At 37.9% G+C, this 27,655-nt stretch overlaps 2 protein-coding genes across 30 annotated transcripts in view; both read right to left on the minus strand.

The window, feature by feature from the left end:
• The window catches only part of TTN (titin), a 281,435-nt gene extending 264,457 nt beyond the window's left edge, over positions 1-16,978 (minus strand). For 13 of the 21 annotated variants that reach the window (XM_017004820.1, XM_024453099.1, XM_017004823.1 and 10 more), the window contains exons 1-11: positions 16,767-16,978; positions 14,107-14,210; positions 11,693-11,896; positions 9,950-10,237; positions 9,380-9,465; positions 9,042-9,286; positions 4,477-4,807; positions 3,954-4,106; positions 2,959-3,099; positions 1,627-1,752; positions 263-400 (exon numbers count right to left, since the gene is read on the minus strand). In XM_017004820.1, coding sequence (XP_016860309.1) covers positions 263-400; positions 1,627-1,752; positions 2,959-3,099; positions 3,954-4,106; positions 4,477-4,807; positions 9,042-9,286; positions 9,380-9,465; positions 9,950-10,237; positions 11,693-11,896; positions 14,107-14,197 — 1,803 coding nt within the window. In that variant the 5' untranslated portion in view covers positions 14,198-14,210; positions 16,767-16,978. The remainder of the gene's footprint in view (positions 1-262; positions 401-1,626; positions 1,753-2,958; positions 3,100-3,953; positions 4,107-4,476; positions 4,808-9,041; positions 9,287-9,379; positions 9,466-9,949; positions 10,238-11,692; positions 11,897-14,106; positions 14,211-16,766) is intronic. The other 8 variants (NM_133378.4, XM_017004821.1, NM_001256850.1 and 5 more) reach the window with 2 other exon arrangements.
• CCDC141 (coiled-coil domain containing 141) overlaps positions 24,533-27,655 on the minus strand; it is a 235,160-nt gene continuing 232,037 nt past the window's right edge. For 7 of the 9 annotated variants that reach the window (XM_047443998.1, XM_047443994.1, XM_047443993.1 and 4 more), the window contains 2 exons: positions 27,081-27,235; positions 24,533-24,657 (listed from right to left, as the gene is read on the minus strand). The gene's annotated coding sequence lies outside the window, so the exon portion shown is untranslated. The remainder of the gene's footprint in view (positions 24,658-27,080; positions 27,236-27,655) is intronic. The other 2 variants (XM_047443992.1, XM_047443989.1) reach the window with 1 other exon arrangement.

Consider the following 27,655-nt stretch of genomic DNA (forward strand, 5'->3'; position numbering starts at 1 on the left):
TTGACTTGTTTACGGACATCTGCTTCAATAGGAAGATATTAAAGTGAATTATTATATTATATTAGTAACAAGCCAAAGAAAGTCTGAAAGTTAGGAATGAATTGACAGTGAAAGGTAGCTGTGTGGGAAAAGAAATTTTCTATTTGCATTATAAGAAGAGGTGGAAGTGAAGAAGTGATGATTAAGATCCATGATGAAAATGTAGGTGATTTGCAAATGAAATGGTGCAAGAGTGACTTTCACATTGGCAGGAAGTCATCACCTTTTCATAACTTAGGTGCATTTGATCTTGTTGTGTGGTAGTTTCTTCTTGAGCTCCCGGGACTGTTTCTAGTTTTGTGGACTTTGCAGTGGCAACTACCACCATGGATGCAGCAGTTATCTCAGTTTCCTGTCTTATCTGATGTTTAGAGTAAAATAAAGATTTGAGTTTCAAAAGATACAAAAGCAATGGGAAGACATCCTTGAAACACTCAGGAAAATACAGGATGCTTAGTGGTGAACGATAAAATGTCAGATTTCCATTTCAGGGGCCTACACTTGTGCTTAATACATAGACTGCTTTCCTGAGGAATGGGCTTCTTTTCTGCCCACATGCGCCTTAGCAAATTGTCCTAGAACTGAACATATCTCATCTTGAGACATGTCAACGTGTTAGGGAACCCGGTGGGTGGCTGCTGACAAGTGGCTGGAAAACCATAGGCCAGCTGAACTTGCCAGTCACCAGCATTGCAATGGCAATGGGGATTTCTATGCCTTTGATTATCCTAAGTAGGGTTCTTGCTGCTTTCAAAATGTCTCACTCACAGTAAGGAGAGGGAAATTCAGTCAGCAGCCTCTGGTCAGCCTTTTAAGTGTACAAGGTTCTCAACTGGACCTTTAAAGAAAGTAGCTCTAAGATCAGCAAAGAGCTTGAGTTCAAGGAGGATGAGCACAGGCGCCCTCTTTGACATGGAAGAATTCAAGATAAATGCCTCTCTCCTGACACTTAAAGGTTTGATTTCACATACGGGAGAGATGTGGATTTTAGTGACACTGAGATTGTCCTCACACAGCTCTACGGCACAACAGCAGCAAATGCTTCTAGGTCACTGTTTATCAACCGTGAATTGAAGGAATTTTTTTTTTTGAGGAAGTATTTGCTTTCTCCGATGTCTGGCATATCCTCACTTTCCCTTGCTATTTATTCGGGGTGTTTATGGCTGATGTATGTGTATATGTGTGTGTGTGTGTGTGTGTGTGTGCATGTGTGTGTGCATGTAAAGTTTGTGCATTACAATCTAAGTGACTGAGGGCTTAGGCTATGCACGAAGAAACCAACTGTCCCGGTGGGTAACTGGACTGGCATGATATCTATCATCCATTTATGTATGTTCTAGAAAGTTCATAGATGTGCCCTAAACTGTTCTGTAGACAATCTCCTGAAAACTGATCAAGTGAGTGGAAAATAGTGCAATGTGAACATAATTTCCATCCTGAGTTTCAATACTAGACATAGAGGAACAATAACAAAAAATATACAACCAAAGACTTCTCCATTTAAGGGTTTTGACTATAAGCTACCTGCAGCTGGCTGTAATGTGATATTGTCAACAAACTACAAAATATTTAGAAAATCAGACTTACTGCTTCTTGAGTTACTTGTTTCTGTTTCTTAGTAATTTCTTCAGAAATTCTAGTTTCTTGTTCTTTGGCTTTAGCTGCGGAAATTACTACCTTTGGTACAAATGTTTTTTCAGTTTCTTTTCTTATCTGCAAAGAATGATTTAAGAAAAAACTTTATTTCCTGATGCCCAATGAAATAATATGGTGTTTATTAAATATAACAACATAGGAATTTGAAGATGTAAAATCCCTTTTCTGCAGATGTCACTAAATAAAATAAATAATCCCATGTTCATAAATAAGATCATGCTCTTTCTCTCCTTAAACTGTAAATTATGTAGGCTGCTTAGAGAAAACAAAGTTGAATTCAACACTTTGTTTTGAACAGCAGAATTGTAGTCTTCTTTAAAATGACTTCCAATGTTTACAAATAGATCTATGGCAATATTATTCTGTACTAATTCTGTCATCTAAAGGTAATCTTAGAATATATATCAGAATGGAAGACTTTAGAAGTAATTTTGTCTGATCTTTTTATTTTACATGTGAGAAATCAAGCATGGATAATTTATAATCTGCATTTATACAATATTTTTGTTTTGTCAGTTTTCCTAAATACTGTGAAGAATGCTGTTTCCATCTGGGCACCTAAGGTATATGCGTATGTAGGGGGACAGTTTTCTCTATTTGCCTCTTTGCCATTCTCAAATATCTCATCACTGAAACACAGGATCTCAAGGCTGAAAGGGACTTGAAATTCATCTTCTCAAACCACCCAACTGCCAACTGGTTCCACTGGCCAAGAGCTCTACTAACTGGCATTTTCCAATCTGTCCCCAAATGCCGCCAACCATGGGGCTGTCCTTTTCACCTTTTCTGGTCATTTGGCTTGTTAAAGCCATGCTGTCCATTCCACTTCAAACTCATGTGCAAATGTCTTCCGAAGGAGCCAGGAAGCAGTTGCTAAGATTTCTAAAGCAAAGTGAGTTCAGTGTCTCCTCCACTTTTCCCCATTCCTGCCTCAGCATCTATTTCTTCCTCCTGGTTTTAGCCATCTGTCCTCTCCCTATAGTCTTATACTTAGTGCATCCCCAGATCAATGTGATGAGACCCCTGTTTCTACTCCTGGTGTATGTTCACAGAGTTCTTTTTCATACTCACAAGGGGAGCATTCAGGGACACTACCAAACTTTGGTATCCAGTACCCAGAAATTTACACATACAACAAGGGGATCTTATTAGTATGCTAACAACCATGTGGCCCAAGGAACAACACTCTTCATGGTAAAGGTGATTATCTGTGTTGACCCCTGTAAGAACCTCAGTGAATTTAAAATACAAACCCATTTTCACCTGCTCATGAGTTACGTGCATCTGCTCTTGCTTTGTGGTAATTACTTCTTTGGTTCTTGATTTTAATTCTTGTTCCTTGGCTTTATCGGCGGCCACTACTACCTTAGTTACAGCAGTCTTCTCCGCTTCCTTTCTTACCTGCTTTTCATAGAGAAAGGAAGAAAACACCTTAATGCATCTTACATAAAAATTAGTTCAAGACCAGCCTCGCCAACATGGTGAAATCCTCTACTAAAAAATACAAAAATTAGCTGGGTGTGGTGGCGCACACCTGTAATCCCAGCTACTCACGAGACTGAGGCACAAGAATCACTTAAACCCAGGAGGCGGAGGCTGCAGTGAGCGGAGGTCATGCCACTGCACTCTAGCCTGGGTGACAGAGCGAGACTCTGTCTCAGAAAAGAAAAAAAAGTTACAATAATCTGTCAGGATTTAGACATAAATGTCACACAAGAGGATAAGGAGGAAAGCTGGAATGATTTTAAACTGTAACAGAAAATCTATTCAAATGCGAGGTGGGACATTATCCTGGATTTATGACACTGTTCCAGCTATGAATCAAGTGTCATGTTTGTTTTGAGAAAAGTAAAAACAAAAGTCCTTTGGGGAAACTTAGAGAAATGTAATGCCTTCCCTGAAATAGTAGTTTCCACATCCAGTGTGTGCAGTGACTGAGCTCTGGAATTGACTGGTCTCTGTTTCTCTGGCCACTCTTTGCCTTCCTACCTTGAATACCATAGTTGACTTTTGCCTGCTCATATAGCCCAGGTATTTCTGGCCTACTCTGCTCTTGTGATACTCACATTGTCAACACCTTTGACATCTCCGACCACCTTTTGCTCAGAAAGTTCTAAAAGTCTGGGCCCTGCTGGGCTCAAGGCTGTCTTCAGAATGAATTGAGCACAGCTGCATGCCAAGCTCAGTGGATGGTGGTTGAGTTAATGTGCACTGAAGGACGTGGCTCTGCGGGTGCCCCATGGCAGCCTCGCACGTACCTGTTCTTGAGCAGGTTGGATGTGCACAGCAGTCGTGGTTGTCCTCTGAGCAGTCTGCTCTACAGCGCTGATCACTGGTTCTCTCACTCTGGCCATATCAACGGCAGCAACAACAGTCGCAACAGCTGCACTTTTGTCAGCATCTTGTTTCACCTAGATTAGAAATGACCAAGTAGATTACTTTTTTAAATGACATGCCCAGTAGAAAATAAAAAAGCATACTGGAAAACTGAGCCACCTAGAGCAAAATACACTCATACATAAGCATTTATTATTGCCAAGAAATACAGAGACTGTATCATTAAAACCTGTATATTATGGAAACTTCACAGATTGGAGCTTTTGTCCTAATTAAAAATGGTTTTACAAAGCATGACTACTGAATTTGGTCTTCAGTTGCTGCTATATTTTTATGTTCATATGCATTTTTCCTCCAATTTATACAGACTGAGTTTCATGGCAGAAATCCAGTTGGAGAAACTAGAATGTGAAATAAGGAAAAACAAAACCATTCTGACAGTACCTCTTTAGCACCAGTGGCAACAGCCTCTGCTGCGTAGCTAGCACTGGCCGACACACTGGCGGCAGCACCCGCAGCACCACTGATGGTCACTTGCTCCTGGACACCGTATCTCCCTTCCCATCTCTCTTCTGTCCTGATCTGAGTAGAGGTTGTCAGCGTTGTCTCTCTCATCTCAGCCTCAGATGAGGAGGCCACGTAGCCCTCTTGCTTCCAAGGGGGAGGCACTTCAGGACCTGTGGCCACGGTGGATGCCTGAGTCTTACGCATGAGCAATGGAGACCTAACAGACCTGATGGGGGATGTGGAGATTCTTGCTGCTGGAGACACGGACCTGAAAACCAAAAGGCAGAGGTCAAGAATGTCAAAGCAAGGAGGGGTAACTGGATGTGAATCATGAGATGAAAAGCTGGAAGTGCTTTAAGGCAGAGTTTTAAAATGTGTGCCTCCATAACCCATTCAGAGGGTAAATAATGTACTTGGAAGTAATTTGTTTTAAATCTCAATAAACCTATTCTTATCTGCTGTAACCCTGTAAGAGAATCAGCTTTAATTCCAAATAAGCTGGAGATTTTGTGCCTTGCACCTTCTCACATTAAAAAAAAAAAAAAATCACAACAGAAAAAGCTACTTCTTTAATATGCAGCCAAAGGAAAGACATGTCAAATCCAGCAACCTCTGTATTCCAAATTCATCTCTGTATTCCAATTCTGGGGGGGTTAGAGGATGTCAAATAGGTGTTATAAGAAGAAAGGTTTCTGTAATCAAAATGCTTGTGCCACTCTTGACTAAGCAGCTTAAGCCATTTTTTTTTTTCCCCTGCAGGACTTCCCACAGCCTTTACTATGTCAGTATGCCTTGTGAATTTCCAGGACAGGGGGACACATCCTCAGGAAGCTTTCTGCAGCATGTTGCTGGGTACAGGTTGTGCAGTGCACTTTGCAAATTGCTGCTTTAGCCGAAGTGTTTGTGGACAGCTACTTTTAATTTCCTCCATATTTGTTTACACTCGCCCCCCTTGTATTGCACTCTGGACTTATTTTAAATATCTTTAGAGTTATTGTGGGAATTGACTAACTTAAAAACTAATGATTCTGTGATTTTTGGGTAAATTGATAAAGTTGCTTCTTCCAGAATAGTTTTCATTGTTTGCTTTTTAGGTGTATCCAAAGTGCAAGTAGCATCAGTTGAAGAATTTGGGTGCTAAATCCCAGCACTGATGGCCAAAAAAGACTATTTCTGATCTATAGCAATAATTCTGGGGATTGGCCAACTATTGTAAGGTAAAATTTTTTTCAGAACTGATTTAATTCTTAATAAGGCTTATTACATTTTCCTCTCTAGGTGGCAGTATTGCCCTATCATTGCATTTTATTAATTCTGCATATAAGAAAATGTTTATAAATGCATCTTGTCACTATCTAGGATATTTAGCTTACACTGATCATACATGAAATGATTATTCTAATTAAGCTCAAGGTACAGTTGATATTTTCTCTAACTTACAGAGTACCCTAACAGTACATTACAACATTAACCAGTTTCACGAAGAAATGTTTATTTTCTCGAAGAATGGCTTTTTTTGTGTGAAAATCCATTTACATTTTGTAAATGAAGTTGTAATCAAACTAAAGGGAAATCTAGGGAATAAGCCTCTTTTCTGAACATGACTGCCTTTGAAATATAACAAAAACCAAGTTAGAATAATGTGTGGTTTCCACTAACTGAAGAAAAGCAAAGAGACATGTGCTTTTAAGTTTCACCCTGTGCCTTGTTCTTGCTGTACTTAGTAAATGGGTTTAATTCAAAAAGAGTTAAAGACATGATTAGCATGACATGACTGATTAACAGCAGGACACAGGTAAGCCCATAACTGTGAAAATCATTGTAATTTTGGTCATTATAGGAGAGTGCTTATTTCTGTACTTACAACAAAAAATAATCACCTGGTCACAGCGAGATACAATGCACCTTATTCAATGAAATATGTTTGCCTTACTCTACAACAAAAATCAAGATTAAACTATGAGATATTTAGGAAGCAGTCTATCTTTGATAACCATTATTTTCTCTGCAAATTGGCATTTTATTTCTTAATTATTGGAAAGCAAAATTTTGGGGCAATTTGGATGGTTATTAATGAACTTTCAAAACTGCTAAGATGGTCAAAATGCTCCATGGGATCAGGGACACTCCATGATTCTAAATGACCCTTAGGCTTGGGTTTTAAAATATAGTTAGGTTGTTATCTCCTCAAGAAATTGCATTTGGCTTGTGTTGTGATTTCATGGTGTGCAAACTTGGATTTAGCCTGAGACTGAACATTTTTTTTTATTCGACTGCTAGACATGTTTTTTAAAGTAAGCTTTTTGTTCAAGGTTTCATGTTAGTGTTTGCCAATATCTTTACATTTTTGTGGCTAAAACAATAAAAATTGGAAAACATCTAGCATTTTTTTTCACATGTTTATTGGACTTTTACATTGCCTCTTATGTTAAATACTTTTTTGTATCTTTTGTCTTTTTTTGTGTTGCATTTTTTTCCTTTAAAAATTAATTTGTGGATGATTTTTAATGCATTTAGTGCATTTATTGGTTATTTGTCGTAAGTGTTGCAAACATTCCCCCAGATCCATTTCTTTTAATCCATTTCAATATTTTGCTTGTTTATGGGTCTTATCCAGCATAAGCTTACGTAATTTTGTATGTTATATACTGTTTCTAGGCTGGTGTTGTCTACCTTGTAGCCATTTTATGTTTATTGTGATACTTTTATGGCAGAGGCAATGAAGTACCTTGAGGAGGAGAAAGGTCTTAAAATTTTTTCACAAGTGCTGTTTGGTTTAGAAATGACTTTTTGCTTTTGCCATACATACATGTTGATTTTTATGTAGTTGAATCTGTAACTGTCTTTTTAAAAGCTTTCACCCATAAATGCTTTTGCAGATTGTCTTCTCTTTTTTTTTCATTTTTTAACTATTTAATCAAGCTGAAATTTATTCTGTAAATAGTGAGAGGCAGAGGTTTATGTTTGTTTGCTTCCAGATGGATAGCTAATTGGACCAGCATTCTTTATTAAAATACCTCTCCCTCCCCTGAATTGAAAGGCCACTTTGCTTTTTGAATTCCCTATATACTTGGATCTATTATACTTGGATCTCTTTCTGGACTCTCTGTTTTGTTCCCCTGGTGTATTTTTCTATTCATTTACCAATACCATACTGTTCTGATTATAGTAACTTTACAGTATGTTTGAATATTATTTAGGTCAACTATCTCCTTATTATTCTTTTATAAAAAATTTTCTTGGCAGGGAACATCCATGTGTTTTTTATTTCATTTAAATTGATCAATAAACACTTCTTTGCTCAAATTTTGTACATTTTTCATTTCATCATATTAAAAGTTTCATCATGATAAACTAAATCCCAAACTTTCAAAACTGTTGTGGACAATTTACACTTGATTATATAATTTCTGAGCCCTGATCATGATACATGATCACCTTCTAAAATACTTCCATATTAAGTAAGCATAGAAGTCCATTTTATTTTCTAGATAAAATAACACAAGCATATGCAAAATATTTAAAAGGTTTTACTTACCATCTGAATATAAGAATATTGGCATAATTATTTTCTATTTACAAGGCACTTTCAACTAATTATCTCATTGAAGCCCCAAAATGCAGCTTGAGATCATTCTTATTGTGACTCTCTTTAATTTACAGATGACACAACTGAAACCTTAAATAAACTGCTTAACTTCTTTAATTCCAGTTACCTATCAATAACATTGAGGATAATAATTCTTACAGGTTGTGAACATTTAATGAGATAATGTATGTATAGTTCCAATCTGATAGAGGAAGTGATCCATATATAATAACAATTATTTTATTATTTATACTTATTGCCCTAAATCAAACTGTTAAGTGATCAGGCTGATTTGTCCTTAGGGCTTTGAACTCTAACTTCTGTGCTCTTCTCCTTTCACTGTGCCATATTTTGGCCCCTAAAGTAGATATTTATTACATGAAATATAAATAAGAATTCAGAAGTTTATAAGGGTCTTCAATTTACCTGTGGACAGTGAGGATTTGTGAAAATCATATTCAGTAACTTCTTGGTTTACCTCCTTTGTCACCTGCTACATTTTTGAGTGCATGAAACTTACACGGGAGGAGGGCAGGGAAGTGCTGGGAAGAGAAGTGCGTGGTCCCTAGCGAGGCCTGTGCCCATGGACCTAGGTGAGGACAAACACTCCTGCCTTCCCGCCCAAATGTTGCATTTCCCAAGATCACCCTGACCTGCCACGCCCACACCCTATGCCTATAAAAACCCCTGAGACCCTAGTAGGCAGACACACAAGCGGCTGGATGTCCAGAGGAACACGGAGCCCCACAACCTGCCCGTTTGTATGCTCCCCTAGAGGTTTGAGCAGCGGGACACTGAAGAAGCGAACCACTCTCCGCGTCGCATGCCCTGCGAGGGGGACAAGGGAATCTTTCTCGTTTCAAAACCTAGTTCCAAAATGTGCAATAATCTGCTCTCTCTATGGCAGCTTTACCTGACCGGAGATGGGGTCGGTGCCCGCACGTGTCTGACCGGGGAAGGGGAGTGTCTTATGGGCGATGGGGACTGCTGCCGAGCCAGCTGTGCTTTGGCAGCAATAGACGGTGGTGTTGGGGATCTTGACTTTGGCTTCGGAGGAATCCTGGGAGGTGTTTTATGTGGCAGCTGTTGCCCAGCGGCACCATCTATGACCATCTCAACTGTTGCAATTGATCTGGCATCAAAGTGGGCTTCAATCTTCTGTAAAAGATTAAAACAAAGCCCACGTTGAGGAGGAATAGCTGGGGACGCAACAGCCTGAAAGGCTTGAAAACCAACAGTATAGAAAAATACCTTTTCAATTCGGGTTTGTCTTGATTCTGAGATCTGAGCAGTCGAAACAATTGTCTTTGTCTTTTTAGCAGGTACTTCTTCTTCACCTGTGGGAAGGGAAAGATGAATGTTTGGGAGGGGGCACAATGACCCATTTTAAAAGAGATTCTGTTAATTCTGACTACAAAGTCAAAAAGATTTTCTGGATATCCCAATGGAGAAAATTGCAGAAAGTTTTGGATTTTGCATGAATATAAATTAGGTTTAAAAATAGAAAATGTTCATTACAAGATAAAAATTTACTTAGAATGATTTTTTAAAATTTCATTATTTGCCAATAATTTGGAAATGTAGATCACTTAATTGAAACCCTTTCCAGTTTATAATGAGATTCATAAGCACAGATTGCTTCTATTCTGCGCTCCTGACTAGAATCTCAGGGACTTTTCATGGGTGTCGAAAAGCCAGCTTTTATATCAGCTCACAGCATTCTTCCCAGGGCTGTGAGAGGTGGCAAGTGGACGCTTGGCCCCATTTAGACACAAACCAGCTCTCTCCCCTTCTCTCTGTTCCTCAACCTCCAGCACGTACCTTGAACCAGTAATTCAGCAGTCGAAGTAGCTCTTCCAACGCTATTGGTGGCATTTACTGAATAGGTCCCTGAGTCCTCAGGGTATGCTTCTGCAATCAGTAAGCTGTAGAGGTCGCCTTCTTGTGAAATTTGGAAATCAAGGGAGCTCTGGATTTCGGCTCCATCCCGGTAGAACTTCACCACAGGTGTAGGGATTCCAGTCACTCTCACTTGGAGTCTCACTTGGCTTCCTTGTCTCACGGTCATGCTCTGCAGTCGTTGAACGAAGTTGGGTGGTGCTGTCTCAGCTGCGGGGACAAGAGAACAAAGTCAAGAGTGAGAGCCAGGGTGCTCCCTACAAGGTATTTTTAAATAATCACAGCTCCAATTCCAAAACCAGGTGATGACTCGCCAATCTAAACATCCTTGAATGTCCTTGAACCCAGCTCACCCAGCAATGACAGCAAGAATGGGAGCCAGGAGATTACAGAAGGCTTTCTCACCACCATATTTTATTTTATTTGCTTTGTTTTGCTGAGCAGTTTAGGCCACCACCTTTTGTTTCTTTGTTTTAAATAAAAGCTCTAGATTTTGTTATAACATTTCTTGAGAATCTTTCTGGTACTTCCCCCTCTACCTCACATCTAGCGCTCTATTAATATGTGAAAGCCATGTTGCATATTCCAGTAAGTTGCATTAAAATGAATTCCAGTGGTTGCTACGATGGGTGTACCTGTTACTTAAAGAATCATTACATTTTTAATTTAATTTTTAAAATTCTAAACCTTCTCCAACTTGATAGGTATTCAAATAACCCAAATATTTACTTGCATTTAAAACGTTAATCCCAATAATAACATTACTTCATTTTAATTGTGTTACAGAAAGGGGATTTTTTTGGTTATGTTGAAGGAAATTTTTTATAAGTGTGAGGAGTGAGTGGAATTAACTTTGACATGATTTTGAGTAATAAACAACAGCAGGTGCTGCCAACCCTGTGCATTTTCCATTTGTGAATTTTCTGGGTGCATGCTAAAGTTCTACCTGATGTTACTTGATGTGGTTTCTGCTTAGGTCAATTATAGCCCTATAATTGAACATCATTGAAGGTAAAGTTTATTGGATAAGCATATGTAACTTTACGTAGCTCATGTAAGATATTGTTATAAAACATGTAAAGGCATGCAATATTCTGTATACTAATGTCTCACTAGGTAGTAAAGGATAGAGAAAAACAACAGAGGCCACTAAGATTGGTGATAAGTTTTCTGGGGAAACAGTGTCATGCATTTGAATAATAAACAAGCATTTATTTTCTTCTGGGTATGTTTACATGCCTCTTAAATGGGTGGTCTGTAGACTACCGGCATCAGAATTATCTGGATGCTTGTTAAAGTGTGAATTCCTGGAGATTCACACTTCCCTGGAGAATATGTCTTATTCCTTAAAGGACTTATAAACAAGGCTCCAAGCTTTTCTACTTGCTGAGAAACATGATTTTTAATATTTCCTTAACATACTTTTGAGTGTTTAATATGTGTATTGAGAAACTGATTCTCAGTCACTTTTACGATGTACTCTAGAGGAAAATTAAATTCCAAAAGGCAAACAACTTGGTTATAAATAATTCAGCCTCCAGTAGACCCTTCTGTAGTTTAAGAGCTGCATCTACCTCTGCCCATAGCTTTTTCTGGACTCCTTTCCCAATTTGCTGGAGATGTCCTCTGGGGGAGCAGAGGATTGGCAGGTCCCCAGCAGCCTACCTTTCACGAGAAGCTCAGCAGTACTAGTCGCTTGTCCAGATCCATTGGTGGCTTTCAGGGAATATCGTCCACTGTTGGCTTTAGTCACGGCGGGGATCGTCAGTTTAGCGCGGCCATCGCTAAAGGAGATCTGCACGCCGGGCAGAGTGGAAGTGGAAATCACCTGGCCATCCCTAAACCAGCTCACCTCAGGAACTGGAAAACCTGAAGAGCAAGAACAATTCACCTTTATGTTTGAATGGGCACCACAAAGTCCTCTGCTCTGTCCCATCATGTTCACTGCCTTGTCCGAATCTGTAAAAGCTTTCCAGCATGGAATGCCACTTAATGATAGGGAAAACCCTACAGTTGCATGATCAGTGTGTAAACCTGCAGACCATTAGGAAGGCAGGAAGGGAGGAAACTGAGACCAAAAGAGGCCTAATGATTTTTCCAAGGTCCTTCAGCTAGCAGTGACACAGAGGGGACTAGAATTTCCATCTCCTGCCTGCCTGCCTAGGGCTCTATCTGATGCAATTTAATAGACAACATTAAAATCATGAAAGGGACTTATAAAAATGAAGAACCAAGGAAAATTTGAAATAAAGAGTGATTGTTGTCCTCTTTGAGAGCAAGTGAAGAACAAAAGCAGCAAACTGATCTCCAGTTTCTGCCTGACAAGCCCAGGAGGCATGCCCTCCTCCCTCCTCTGTGGTTACAGGGACACTGTCTTCTTGGACTCTTCTGCTTTCACAAGTGCAATCAGTAAAAACATTGTAACATGGACAAGCAATTTCTCATAAGAGACTAATCCAAACCTAGTCTTCCAGAACAACATGGATCATTGGAATTGCAGGTAGAAAGCCAAATTCTCTTTATCTGCCATAAATTGTAGAGCCAAGAACTACATGTCCATGGTTTGATGTTTTAAATATATTAAAACTCTGTACATTGAGAATGTACGAGGCACATTCAGGGCATGATTTATTTCACACTTGGCATAAAGGTTGATGCTCTATCTACTTACGCTGGTAGGTAAAGATAATCTAGAGAAAGTCTATTTTGTTGTTTATACATTAGCCCATCTCCCACTATGGCCAATTAAATAGTTTATTGGACTGATTTATGGGTATTGGATATTTTCAGTAGTGTCTTTGTAATAATTTATTTGCATATAGTTTGAAGGAACAAGAAGATATGAAGTAGCCAGATTCCACTACTTCTCAAGGAGGCAAATTCCCACTGAAGTCATATGTGTTCTGCTCAGTTCAGAAGTTACTGAGTGTTACCAGATAAATAGGTAAATTATTTGGAAGTCGGTAAGACTTATTTTCTATTGTACATATATAGACCAATGAAAAGGGAATTTCATTGGTCTATATATGTACAATAGAAAATAAGCAATGATTATATGATATTTGTACAATGTAAAAGAAAGTATTATCCAGTTATGAATAAGATTGGTGCATATAATAGAAAAAAAGAGAAAAAAAGAAATTTTATTTTATATCTTTATTATAAGCCATAAAATTTTAAAAAAGAAGTGGGCAATGAACCATGGAAGTGCACTAAATTAAGAATTAAGCATGATTTTTTTTAATCCGTATCCATCTTACATGGCTCGTTACAATACTACAGAAAGAGAAAATATTGATTAATTTTAAAATTATTTACAATATAGTTCATACACTACTCTCCATTTTTTCATAAGATGATACCATGCATTTTTTTGAACCATCCATAAACTGAGTTATGAGGAAGAAAAAGAAGGCAAAAAAGAGATGAACTTCCTTTCAGATAAAATTCTAGGGTTAGTGTTTGCTTCCTTTTAAATAGAGACACCCGAGAAGCATATTATTTTCTGTCATTTCAAAACGATTGGAAAGTCTTTTAATTCATTAGAATCACTCAATAAAGATTGAAAATAAAATAATAAAATAATGAGGAGTTGGTTAATTACTGAACAGCTCTGCCTCTGAGGAAAATTAGATGCACTGTTATTTTGCGTGTGAACCAACTGAAGTTCAGGTGTCCAGAGCAGGCAGCCCAGACTGCCTACCCCATGGCTCTGTGGCTGGCTTCTATTGGGCTTGAGTTCTTGGCTTCCAGTCTGGCTCTGCAGCTGAGCCCAAATATAGAATGACTAAATTTGGTCCTATTTAGTTGCTGGATTCTAACGGCAATTTTAATCCAACACTAATTATTTTTGCTTTGTGGAATAATAAATATGAATAAAACATTTCAAGCCATTATATTGTCAGATTTTGTCAGTACTCTGTGAATGGTATACCCTTAAAATGACCTTTCCATAGTGTTGGACTAATTTTCCGAAGTGAAAGCAGGGCTTAAACTTGGCGTCAAGTCCTGCAGCAACGTTAACTTACTGGAGAGGAGGCAAAGGAAAAAAAAACAAAAGTGTGAATGTGTGAGCTTACCACTAATGTGAGCCTCAAAGGTTGCGGTACTACCCTCCAGTACCACAACGCTTTGTAACGGCTGCGTAAACGTCGGTGCTTGAGTTGTCATCTTTCTAGGCACTCTGAAAAAGAAGAGAAAATAAATTAGGGTGTCCCAGCTAAGGGTCACTCTGGAGCTGCTTTGCAGATAGCAGAGACACACGTTTCTCCAAATGGATTGCTCCATAGGTCATCTGTGGGCCTAGAGTGATGGGCAGGTCTTCTCTTTTGTGGCTTGAACAGTTTTGCATAGTTCATCATTGAGTTGACTTAAAGCCTAACCCAAAGTAGCAAGTGTAAGGGGAAATGGAAAAAAGTATTAGCCAAACAGAACAAGGAATGAACCCTAGTGGTCAAAGAGGGAATATACAGTCTTACCAATGGTGGAAAACCAGGTTCAGAGTTGAAGAAGAAAACCACAGCAATGCAGGGTTAGTGAAGTGTAATTAGAGAGACAAGACATGTGATAAATGTAAAATAAACCTCTGGGCCTGGCGTGGTGGCTCATGCTGGTAATCCCAGCACTTTAGGAGGCCGAGGCGGGAGGATTACTTGAGGTCAGGAGTTTGAGACCAGTTTGGCTAACATGGTGAAACCCCTGTCTCTACTACAAATACAAAAATTAGCCAGGCGTGGTGGCCCATGTCTGTAGTCCCAGCTACTTGGGAGGCTGAGGCATGAGAATTGCTTAAACCCAGGAGGTGGAGGTTGCAGTGAGCAAAGATGGTGCCACCACACTCCAGCCTGGGTGACAGAATGAGACTCTGTCTCAAAAAAAAAAAAAAAAAAAAATTAAAATAAATAAACCTCTGCATCAGCTTAGTAAGTGAAAATTATTTTAAAAATTTTCCTTCTCCCCAATATTTTTCGTTCACTCTATATTTATAAAGTTGACATTGATTCAGACATTATCTGATTACTTAAAATAGTTGCCAGAAGTAAAAATCTGAACTTTGTAATCTCTTTCCTGACTGGAGAAGCTTTGGCAAGCCTTATCAAATATGCAAGCTTTTTGTAGACGGCATACGGTGCTTTCTATTTCTTAACATTTCTTCATACTGTAACTGTGCAGTAAATGTTGTTACTGCTGAAGTAAATATTCAGAAAAATTTAAATTTTAGTGAACAGGCCAAAGTTTATTATAGTTCTGAAAGAAAAATGCTGGCTTGAGTTCTTAATATGGAACAATTTGCAAACTTTGAATAATGGAAGGCTGGTGTAAAATGTAGATGAAGTGAAAAGGCCTATGCTTTCATAAAGTAAAATATTCAACATCAAAGAAACGAATATAAAATTTGCAGTTAAGTCATTTTGTTAAGTGCAAGAAAGTACTTTGCCTATCAGTTTCAGAGACATTATGTGAAGAATTTTCTGATGCATAAATACCTAATTATTCAACATGACTATTCTGTTCTGAAATAGAACATTTCTGAATTGTCAATCACTTCATTACTATTTTTCATTAAATTCTTTGTTTACTAAAACTTCATGGAGCAATAATCTTCTTAGTGATAATTCTGTTCCTTACTGTAACCTTCTACTTAGTTAAAAAAATGAAACCAGCATTCTCTGAGACAATAAAATTTATATTTGGAAAAATCAGATAATATCCAAAAGCTTTCATAAATTTTTTTTGTCAGAAACTCCTTTTTGTAGCATATTATCTTTGGGATGAACAACTTTCTGTGTCTAACTTTGTCTGTTTATAAGTTAGTATATCTAAAAATAGCTGTCCTCTTAGACATAGAATACCTAATTATATATCTATGTATTTACAGGCATTGACAATTAGTAATCAAATTCTAGGAAGATGAGAAATCAAAGTGTATTTAGAAGTAAGAAACCTTTCCTTTAAACATTATTTCTTACCCTTCTTAGTGTCAACATTTATCTCAAAATATATAATTGGACTGTGTGCTGAGTTAAAATGCATGAAGAGATTCTGAATATTTTAGAAAACAATTATATCATTTTATTCCAAATCTCCAACTATGTTGCAATTAACCAGCTTAAATTGATCTTACATTCCTATTGTCTAGGTAAATTTTATTGCCTTAGCACTTGCTCTTCACAGGCCTTTGTCTAACTGGGGCTGAAGGTATGCGTCTAAAATGTCATGCTCTTAAAATAAACTCTCCTAAACTCTCCAAGGTTGACTGACAGCAGGCAAGTGTTCTGTCACTGTCCTGCAACTGATACCTCAGCAGTTGATTCCCTTAAAAAGTCATCAGGGTGTAGCTGATACCACATGCATTTTATCAGAGCTATTCTTGGTGTGCTTAACTTTATCATTGAGTAATATAACCTTGAACATTCTCAACAGGCAAAGAGAGTCTAGAAAAGAAGTAAACATTTCTCTCAACATTTCAGACCTCAACTTTTAGAATATTAAGTGAACTTAAACAATTTGAATCATGGAATCATTTAGCTGATATAATAAAGCTTTCAACTTTTTAAGGAAAAATGTTCAGACATTTTAAAATAGAATTTAACAAGCAGATTTAAATAATGGGTCAGCACTGGCAAGAAATAGTCATACAAACACTTGTACATAGGCATTTAGCACACACAAATAATCCAGAGCCAGAGATCAATAAGAAAGTGACTCTACTATTAAAATAAGAAAAGTTGCTGCTCACCTGATTTCTCAAGAGTGCCTAAAAAGGGTGGGACTAAGCCCAAGGTTGCTTCTGAAACGACGTCCTATGGAGAGTTGGTTTTTCTGACCATCTCCGACATGAATCGGTGAGCCTCTAATCCTAAAAACAAAACTACACAGTCAAGACTGTGTAGTTTTGCTTTTCTATGCAATCCCTACACCCGAGGCGAGGCTGGGAATGCACGACTGCTCAAGAGCCAGGGTCTGGCCTGCCCTTATATTCACCAGATCTGCTGACAGCCCCACATCCTTAGGCAGGGCCCTGGGTGATTGGCTGTCTTAGGAAAGCATGATGGGAGAGGACCTATTTGGTAGTGTCACATACCACCTGTTCTTCTGATTGACAGTGCTAAATTTAGTACCTCAAAGGAGACTTCACCAAGGAAATAGAACTGTATTTAAAGAATAACTGTGTTGAGGCTCAGAGAAGAGCATTGGTTGCTGATGTTAAAATCCGAAAATGCAGGTTTAAAGAGGTGTGACAGTAGATAGCACTTGTGGGCAGTCATACAAAAGAGCCCCAAACCTGAGGACTGTGCCCTGAGTCAGGCCCCAGTCCTGTTCCCTTCCCCCATAAAACAAACCAAATGGACCTGTCAATCATGACAGCAGATGAGGAAATTTATCTCAAGCATAAGGCTTCATGTTCTCTGAAGAATCAGTTGCTATAAACCTTAACGTTGAAGAGAGCTCATTTGTACTACCTACATTCTCCAGAATCCACTTGTATTTCGGGGACAGTTACACTGATGTTAATGAGCTTATTGCTTATACAACCCTGCAAGATATAATGTTGAAAGGCAAAATTGGAACTCTGCTTAGGTTAGTCTGTACAGTACAATGATTTCACCTTTGTCAGATTTCATTTTTGTCTGGCATTAATATTTACAAATATGTGTGTACTGCTCCTTAGTAAGTAGCCAGGTCTTATGCTTAAATCATCCATAAGGTTCCTTTTCCAGACACATGAATGCTGTTCTGCTAATCTCTGGAGTTTGCTGTTACTAATGGGAAGTGGATAGGAGGTGATATAGTTGCTATTTTAGGACTGAATTTAATTTCAAGCAAGAGATATTTCAAATAAAAAAGAGCACACCAAAAGATCTTTATAATGACTCAGCTGAGAGATTTGTGAAACTCTACTTAGAGGGAGGAAAATTGTCTTGTTGATAATGGAAAGAGACTTTTATCAATAAAAGAGACTAAAATTTTTAATTTAAGTTAAATTTCTTTATGTCTGTAATAAAAATATTCCCTGTTATGGAAGAATTTGGCCATGCATTAAACTTTTCAATTTCTTGAGTATTTCATATCTTGTATTTATTTATATAGTGATTAATATGTTAATGTTTAACAGTTTAAATTTACTGACAACTAATGTAGTATAGTTATGTTAACAAGATGACGCCATGTACTTATTTAAACATTTTTCTCCTTTACTTAAGTGGTGGTATCTGTATTGGTGGCACCATTTCCACCCCCATAGATGGCATCTGCTATAATTCTATTTGATTGCTTTATTCAGAAACAACTGGTTTCATATTATATACTTTGAAAATTATTCCCACTGAGAGATTTGTGTTACAAAGAATCTGCCAGTCATAAGGCAAAGAAACACTAGAAATGTATGATCTTTCTGTTTTGGAGTGTTCACCAATTGGCTATCTATTTAAGATACGTTTGTGCATATTTGTGTGTGGGTATGTAGTGTGCGTGTGTGTATTTTTAGACTCATTTGACCTAATGTGAAGCACATTAATGTTACGTTATGTTTGTTGGAACTAAAGTCAAATCATTTTAATTCTTACGGGAACTAGAGGGAAGAAGTGACTATAATCTGGAAGCCTGCGTCATCTTGACATGATGCAATTCAGGTAACTCAAGAGCCAAGAAGATGGACCATATGTTATAAACATAAAGTCAAGTGTCTGTCCTCTTAAGCTGATTGTCTAGTCACTGTTCTTAGACTTTTCTAGACCCTGCCTGCCAGCCTACATCTTTCTCCCGAGCTGGATGCTTCCTGCCCTCGAACATCGGACTCCAAGTTCTTCAGTTTTGGGGCTTGGACTGTCTCTCCTTGCTCCTCAGCTTGCAGACAGCATATTGTGGGACCTTGTGATTGTGTGAATTAATACTTAACAAACTTCCCTTTATATAAATATATATATGTATGTATATATTCTTCCCTATATACATATTAGTTCTGTCCCTCTAGAGAACCCTAATACACCTTGCAATATTGTCAAGATCCTTGCCTTTAGGCCTTTATATGTTTATGTGACATTCAGAATTAAGAAAAGAAAAAAATGAATGAACAAAAGAAAAAAGAAGAAAGAAAAGGAAAGAAGGGACCAGTTAGTAAATAACTAATATGCTGCTCTGAAAAAGAGTTCTTATTATTGGAATAGTAATGGACAGTATATGATATCATGGTATGCATTAGTTTTAAAATTAAATATGCCATCGTTAGAATTAGTAAACTAGTCTTGTGGAAACCAAATACTAGGCAGATTTGGGGAGTTTGCTGATGGAGTAAGATCTCAATTTACCACCCTAACAGTGGGGAGGAGCCACACAGATAATCCCAAACAGCTGATAATTCAAATGTAATGCCTACTTAATTTGGAATGCATGGCATGATTCTCTCTTTAAGCACAATATTCAATGAAATTCAATAAATATTTATTAAACATATAGTCAGTGCTGAGCACTGGGATAAATTATTACGATTTTGGATTCTGTCATTATTTATTGATTTGACAAATATCTACTGAGTGGTGACTTTGTGCTGGGCATTGTGCTAGTGATGGCTAGGCAGAGCTGACCAAGAAAAGACAGTTAGAATTATTGTGCTCTTAGAGATCATGGTCTACATCAACTCTTAGTGAATGCTCATTAATCTGTGACTGAGACCAAGTCTAGGATATATGTAAAACTCAGGCAGTAACTCCAACTACATAGTCAGACTTTGTTTACCTTATATAGGACCATTTACAAAGGAAGGACTTACTGGGAGTTATTCGAGAAATGGGTACAGTTTTGAAGGCCAATGCAAGGATACTAGAAGAGAGTAAAACTAATGTATCTTATGACTGATTAAATTTTTTTGTGTGTTCTTTTATTGTATTAAACACAGTTTAGGCACAGAGATCATAGCAATGCACACAACACACAAAAATACCTGCCCTCTAAGAGTTTACATTTTTGTTAACACAGTAATATTAAGTGATATAATATCTGTAATTTCCTTTCCACTCATAAAATATATCAAAGCTGAAATATAGGCTCATCATGGAGCTATTTTTAAACAAGGAAATAGAAAAGCAAATTCAAGAAGTGCACAGGGAAAAGCGTGCTGACAAAAACAATTTATTCTAATGGAAGACAGTCGTGTTCTTTGAGTTATAGAGGCGGAAAAAGCTACACTGGGAATGTGGGAGGCAAGAAATTGTTGCTTACAATTTAAAAGACTTATTGTCCCATTTTTTTCTACATCCAGTTATAATTTCTTTAGAAGCAAGATCAAATTAGGTTTCCACAACTATTTACAAGTGTACGAATAGTCACAGATGCATTTAACACCACATCGAATACAAAAAGATTATTTCAGACACGTAAGATATTTTTACCAAAGTAAGAAAGATAAAAAAATTAAAGTCTTGAATGTCTCAGTAGCACTGCTGTTAGGGGCACTTGGAATTTCTCTCCTATTCTACCTGGGTTTAGGCAACTCACTTGAATCTCTGTCTCAGATTTGTCAGTTGCAAATTGGAGATTATTATCTCGACTTCAAAGAGTTATTAGGAATATTAAATGACAGAATGAACGTGACAGTGTCCAGGACCATGAGAATCTGACACATGGTAGGCATTTTGTTTGTTTGCTGCTGCCAGGCATGACACTAAGAAAATAATTTCTGTGCTTGGTAGTATTGATTTGCTCAATTATCTCTGACTACCTGATAAAATATACAAGATAGTATTTTCTAAGAAATCTTTGAGAAGTCCAAAAGTGAGCTCATGGAATAAAGCACATGTCACGTCCTTCCCTGAAGGCCCTCAGAAGGTGACATGACACTTATATGTGGATTAAAGCAAAGCCCAAGAAATACTGGAATCTTAAAAAAGAAATAAGTTGGACTTCTGAAGGCCTGTGGCAGGAATCTATAAACCTGATTAGATCTAACCACCAGCAAATGCTCATTGGAGGTGATACTGCTGTCAAATATCAAGCTTTACACATGCTGAAGGGAGGCAACCAGGCTCATTTTTTCCAGTAACCACTGCAGACACGGCACCTGGGGACAGGGATTAAGGGCTCTTTCAGGGCCAAAAACATGTTTGGGAGCTGAAAAATAAGTTTTGCTTTGAAATACAAAAAGAAATCTGCAACAATGAAAATAATGGATATTTATCAAATACCTACAAAAGAAGATATGTCAACTAGTCAACTGCACTTGAGATTGGTATATTTCAATGCGTCTGACAAGCTCAGGGATGGATTTTCCAAAACTGAAACAGTCTCTGTGGGACAAAAATCTAAAAATGGCCCTCAAAGCTCTACAGTCTCAAAAAACAAAGGTTAATCTTTGTTTTTTTAAAGTAAAGGAAACTACTCAGTGCCCACACAGCCAAGTGCTGATTTTTCTCCAGCTTCCATTATCACCTCCAGAAGTTTACTTTTTTATTTCTAAACAAAGTCTATTCTTCCTTTGAAGCTAAAGATTCTTTAGCTACCACTTTCTACCTATCTTCTCCAGGCTTTCAGGGTGTTTTCTTCAAAGGCCTTCTCAACATTTCCTGAAGACATCAGCATCAGAACCCCTAGTGTAAGCCTTGCCAACACCCTGAGGGACTCCCACATCCATGTGTAACCACACTAGAGGAAAATGATGGATAGCACAGTTTCTAAATCAGACCGACTTTGGATCAAATCCCAGATGCACCAGTTATTAGCAAAATGACCCTGGATTAATCATTGAAGCTTCATTTCTTCCTTGTAAAATGGGAATACTCACTTCTTCGTAGTGAATATTCTCCTTTACTGTTGTTTTGGTTTTCATTAACTAGATTTTGTAAGTTCTTATTTGATTTTTTATTTTTACAAATAGTTTTACATACTAGTATTTTTTTTCATAGCACATTTTATAACAAATGCTCAATGTGGAAGCTATTGCTGGTTATTGTTGTTATTTGAATAGCCCTTTCTACACCTTTAGCCACACAGTTCCTGCCTGGCAGGTCTGAAATGGCATTCATTTCTTCTTTCCCACTTCAGCACCTTACCTCTGTGACCATACTTTGGGTCTTGCCCTCTTCAGGTCTTTCTTCTGTGGAGTTGCTTCTCTTCTAACATCAACAGAGAAGTTAAAGATACATCTCTTTTCATCAGTATTATCATGAGTAGAGCGTAAACATTTACTCTATAACCATATACATATGCTTATCTGTCTTCCTCCAGTGTCAGGGGAAAATGGGTCTATTACTCTTCAAGGCTAGACCAATATTCAGGATCCTTCTACTCTTGTTTCTTCCAAGACACACACTATTCCATATAATATGTTTAACTTCTCCTATCTAGAAGCTTCTTCCCCTTACCAGCCACTCTACTTGATACATTGTTTTCCCATTTAATTATAACTGAGCTTATTGCTGTATTAATTTCTTTATTTCTTATTGTTATGGTCTAAATGTTTGTTTCCTTCCAAAATTCATGTTGAAATCTAACCCCAAAGGTGATGGTTTTAAGAGATGGGGCCTTTGGCAAGTGATTAGGTTATGAGGGTTTTGCCCTCATGAATGGGATTTGTACCCTTATGAAAGAGGCTTGAAAGAGCTCCTTTTTCTCTTCTGCTATGTGAGGTCATAGCAAGAAGGCCTTTTCTATGAGAAAAGTGCCCTTGTTAGATATACAATCTGTTGGTGGCTTGATCTTGAACTTCCCAGCCTCCAGAAATGTAAGCAATAAATTTCTATTGTTTATAAATTACCTAGGGTAAGGTAAGTTGCTACAGCAGCCTGAATAGACTGAGACACCTATTCTTTCTGAACCCTCTTTCAGCTTCTTTTCTCATTGTTCTTGCACTATTCATATTGTGTTTTCCACTGCCTTTCTTATTTCCAAATCCAATAGGCAGAGTTTTTTTTTTTTTTTTGCAACATTTTTGGTTGTCACTTATTAATCCAGTGGATACTTAAAAATTGTATTTTCATAATGCATAATAGTAAGTGATGTGTTAGGAAACTCTTCAAATAAATTCACTTAAAGGACAACTATTTGTGTTGAGTGACTGAAAAGTCAATGAGTTCATAGCACTAAACTTGAACTATTTCTCAGGCTATGTCTTCCTTTGGCCTTGGCTTTTTGATAAAACAGCCAGGAAGAATCACCCAAGATACATTTTTTCTACATCCCATCACTTTCACCAGTTCACCTACTAACTTTTATACTTCATCTTTCTAGAAGCTCTCTCCAAACTTGAATTCCATGGCACCAGCCTCTCTGGACTCATACAGTTCTGACTTATTCATGAGCAGTTCTCCTCCTGTTGGTCTTCATCAGGTTCTACCTCTTCTTACTCTTGTGTTTTCCCGGGGTTAGCTCATCTCCTTTCAAGGCTTCAACTACATTCTGATCACTTCAAGATGATTATCTCTGCCCTATTCATCGCTCGCATGTTCCAGACTTACATTTCACTCTTACTGGCTATCTCCAAGAGAATCTCAGACTTAAAACACCCAGATTAGACTCCTTATAAATCTGTCCTTCTCCTGGATTTTTCCATCTGAGTTAATAACATCACAATCTATTCAATCACCTAAGTGAGAACTCTGGGAATTTTTCTTAATGCTTCCTTCTCCTTATTACCTGCCTCTGAGATGTCAATAAATTCTTTTAATTCTACCACCTAAAAATAGCTTGAATCTTTGTAAACTTGTTTATTGCTACTACCGTTTCCAGGTCCTTATTTCTCACTTATTCTATTGGATTTAGCCTCTTAACCGTTCATTTCTGCCTCCAATCCAAGTCCACCTCAAAGCCCAATAAGCACTCCATGATAAAAATTTCACATAATTTCTCTGATTTAAATCTTCAGCTAGTCTTGGGAGCCCTACATCACCCAAGATACTGACTGAATCTATTATCCTCCACTCCTGGCTTTTTGGTCCTGTTTTGATTTTGCCCAGCCCATTGCCTTTTTGCAGCACTGACTAGAACAACGATCGACACATAGTAGCTCCTTGGTATGGGCTAAAATGTGAACCCTCCAAAATTCATATGTTGAAATTCTAACTCCTAGTGCCTCACACTGTGACAGTGTTTTGAGATTAGGTCTTTAAAGAGATGATTAAGTTAAAATGAGCTCATTAGGGTGGGCCCTAACCCAATACGACTGGTGTCCTTATAACAACAAGAGATAGGACCAGGAACAGTAGCTCATGCCTGTAATCCCAACACTTTGAGAGATGGAGGTGGGCAGATCGCTGGAGCCCAGGAGTTCAACACCAGGCTGGGCAACATAGCAAGATCTTGTCTGTCTTAAAAAAGAAAAACAAAAACAAAAAATCCTGGGCATGGTGGCGTTCACCTGTAGACCCAGCTACTCAGGAGGCTGAGGTGGGAGGATCACTTGAACCTGGGAGATTGAGGCTGCAGTGAGCCATGATCACAACACTGCACTCCAGCCTGGGTGACAGAGTGAGATTCTATCTCCAAAAATAAAGAAAAAAAAAAAGAACAAGAGATTAAGACAAAACAGGAACAGAGGAAAGGCCATGTGGAGACAGGAGGAAGATGGAAGTGAAGGAGAGAAGCCTCAGAAGAAATGAGCTCTGTTGGCACTTTAATCTTCGAACTTCAAGTCTTCAGGACTGTGAGAAAATAAATTTCAGTAAGTTTAAGTTGCCCAGTCTGTAGTACATTTTTATGGCAGTGCTAGCAAACTAATGATATGCTCCATAACATATATCTTAAGGACATGAACAACTTTATCAGATAAATATGATGACAATTTGAGCTTTTGGTGACCAACTTTCTCAGAATCCCTGAATCATATTTTAAGGAAATGAGAGTGGAGCAGGCTGGAGAGGACAGGACTTCCTAATTGCTTATTACCATATCTCAGCAGCAAAAAACTGCTCATCTCTAGGCCTTCACTTTGGATCTAAGTGTTAATGTGTACTCTTCCATTTAAAATGAGGAAGCTTTAGCAACAGTTTCACCTTTGGCAAATTCTTTGTCAAAATGAAGGAACACTTATCATCTGTAATGTGAATCTTTGTCTCCCTCCATCTCTGCTGATAGATTGTGATTTGGGGACACTTGCAGTATAGTCGTCCTTCAGTATCCTTGTGGGATTGGCTCCAGGACCCCCTAACCCCCAGCGGATATCAAAATATGTGGATGCTCAAGTCGCTTATATAAAATAGCATAGTATTTGCATTTAAACTATGCAGATCTTCACATATGCTTTAAATCATCTCTAGATTCCTTATAATACCTAATACAATGTAAGTGCTATGTAAATAGTTATGTTGTATTTTTTATTTGTATTTTTTTTATTTTGGGGTTTTTCTTTTTTCAGTATTTGTGATATGCATTTTGTTGAATTCATGGATGCAGAACATGTGAGTAGGGAGAGGCAACTGTATTGTTAACCCATCAGAGACTACATTCATTAGAGGTTAGTTGAGTAACAACTGTTGTAAGAGTATATGTAAGTTTAAAAAACAGTAAGCTTTGAAAAAGATAAAAGTAAGTCCTGGCATCCAGAAGCTGGCCTTTGTAATAAATGATGAGCCAATATTGATGCATTATTACTAAAGTTCATAATATACATTAGGGTTCACTGTTGTTTGGACATTCTGTGGGTTTCGATTGATGTTTAATGACATGTATCCACCATTGCAGTATCATACACAGTAGTTTCAATGCCCTAAACATCCTCTGTGCTCCACTTGTTCTTCATCTTCTTCCTTCTCTCCCTAAAGCCTGGCAATCACTGGTTTCTTATTGTCTCTGTACTGTTTTCTTTTTCAGAATACCATATAGTTGGAGTCATACAGTATGTAGCCTTTTCAGATTAACTTCTTTCACTTAGCAATATGCATTTAAGATTCCTTAGTGTCTTTCCATGCCTTAGTCGTGTACTTCTTATTGCCTAAGATTCTACTGTATGTATGTATCTCAGTTTGTTTATCCATTCACCTATTAAAGGACATCTTGTTTGCTTCCAAGTTTTCGCCATTATGAATAAAGCTGCTATAAACATCTGCATGCAGGTTTTGTGTGGACACAAGTTTTCAGCTCATTTGGGTAAATGCCAAGGAAACTAATTCCTGGATTGTATGACAAGAGTATGTTCAGTTTTGTAAGAAACTGCCGAACTGTCTTCCAAAGTGGCTCTGCCGTTTTGCGTTCCCACCAACAGTGAGTGAGAGTTCCTGGTGCTTCACATCCTCACTAGCATTTGGCTTTGTCAGTGCTTTGGATTTTAGCCATTCTAATAGGTATGTATTCTGACCCATTTTTTACCATAATAAAATAAGTACTTTGGGATAATTAGGGAGTATTCTACAATAAGAAGAGAATGAGGGAAATAAAACAATAACTTTAAACGTGGCTCCTGGGTGGTAGACCAGGCTCATTCCCTGAGTAAATCATTGGTTTTCATATTCTAGCTTTCTAGGATGAGATTAAAATCTGCACCTAAGAGAAATAAGGAATGAGAACTTTGGGTTACTCATTAAGGTTATATCTGCACATTAGATTTCTAATGTACTTATAATTTTACAGTAATAGCTCTAAAAGTAGAAAGGACAACAAAATATGTAATATTCACATGGGTTATGGATACTTCCACATATGAGTATTTATACTTAGAAACAGGATAACCTCCACAAAAGAGTTTTAGTTCCTGCCCCTTTACCTAAGTGGACAACTGGTTCTTGCTAGTACTTTTTCATACTTCTAGTACTTTTGTTTCCTGTGTTGTATTTTTGGGCAAAAACTTTTGTGTTTAGCTTCTGTCTGAAATGTGCCACATGTTTATTTCTTTAAGAGAAAAGGGTGCATATTGTCTTGTGAATAAATATTTCATTCATTTATGTGTTGTATACCTGAGAACATGGCCTCAAATATAAGAATTTAGCTGAAACTACTGTTGGTTTAGGACAGAAGTACTTCCTAGAATCAGAAAGACTCATGCTCTTTTTCTGTGGATAATATAGAAAAACATAGAGTTATGAAACACAATATATTCTTCTGAAAATAAAGACAAAACCACATGACCTACTTCAGTATCTCCAGGTACCACTTAGAAGTCATCTTTGAACCAAGTGACACATGGTCCTGATCTTCTGGACACTGTGCAGTGTGGAAGCAGATCTCATCCTTCCTGGAGGTTGACAGGTCTAACACTTTCTAGGAACGTTAGAATTTTGCTTCATACTAAAAGGAAAAGGAAATTTGAAGTTGCTAAGATACACATGTGTAATATTTTCGTTCTCTTTTTCTTTATCTCTTTTCTATTTCTCTCTCCCTCCTCCCTTCCTTCCTTCCTTCCTCCCTCCCTCCCTCCCTCCCTTCTTTCAATGGAGTCTCATTCTGTTGCCTAGGCTGGAGTGCAGTGGCACAATCTCCACTCACTGCAACCTGTTCCTCCCAGATTCAAGTGATTCTCCTGCCTCAGCCTCCTGAGTAGCTGGGATTACAGGCATCCGCCACCATGCCTGCCTAATTTTTGTATTTTTAGTAGAGACGAGATTTCACTATGTTGGCCAGGCTGGTCCCAAACTCCTGACCTTAGGTGATCCACTCCCTTCAGTCTCCCAAAGTGCTGGGATTACAGGCGTGAGCCACCGCACCTGG

Source organism: Homo sapiens, chromosome 2 (assembly GCF_000001405.40).
Source record: "Homo sapiens chromosome 2, GRCh38.p14 Primary Assembly".
Classification (NCBI taxonomy): domain Eukaryota; kingdom Metazoa; phylum Chordata; class Mammalia; order Primates; family Hominidae; genus Homo; species Homo sapiens.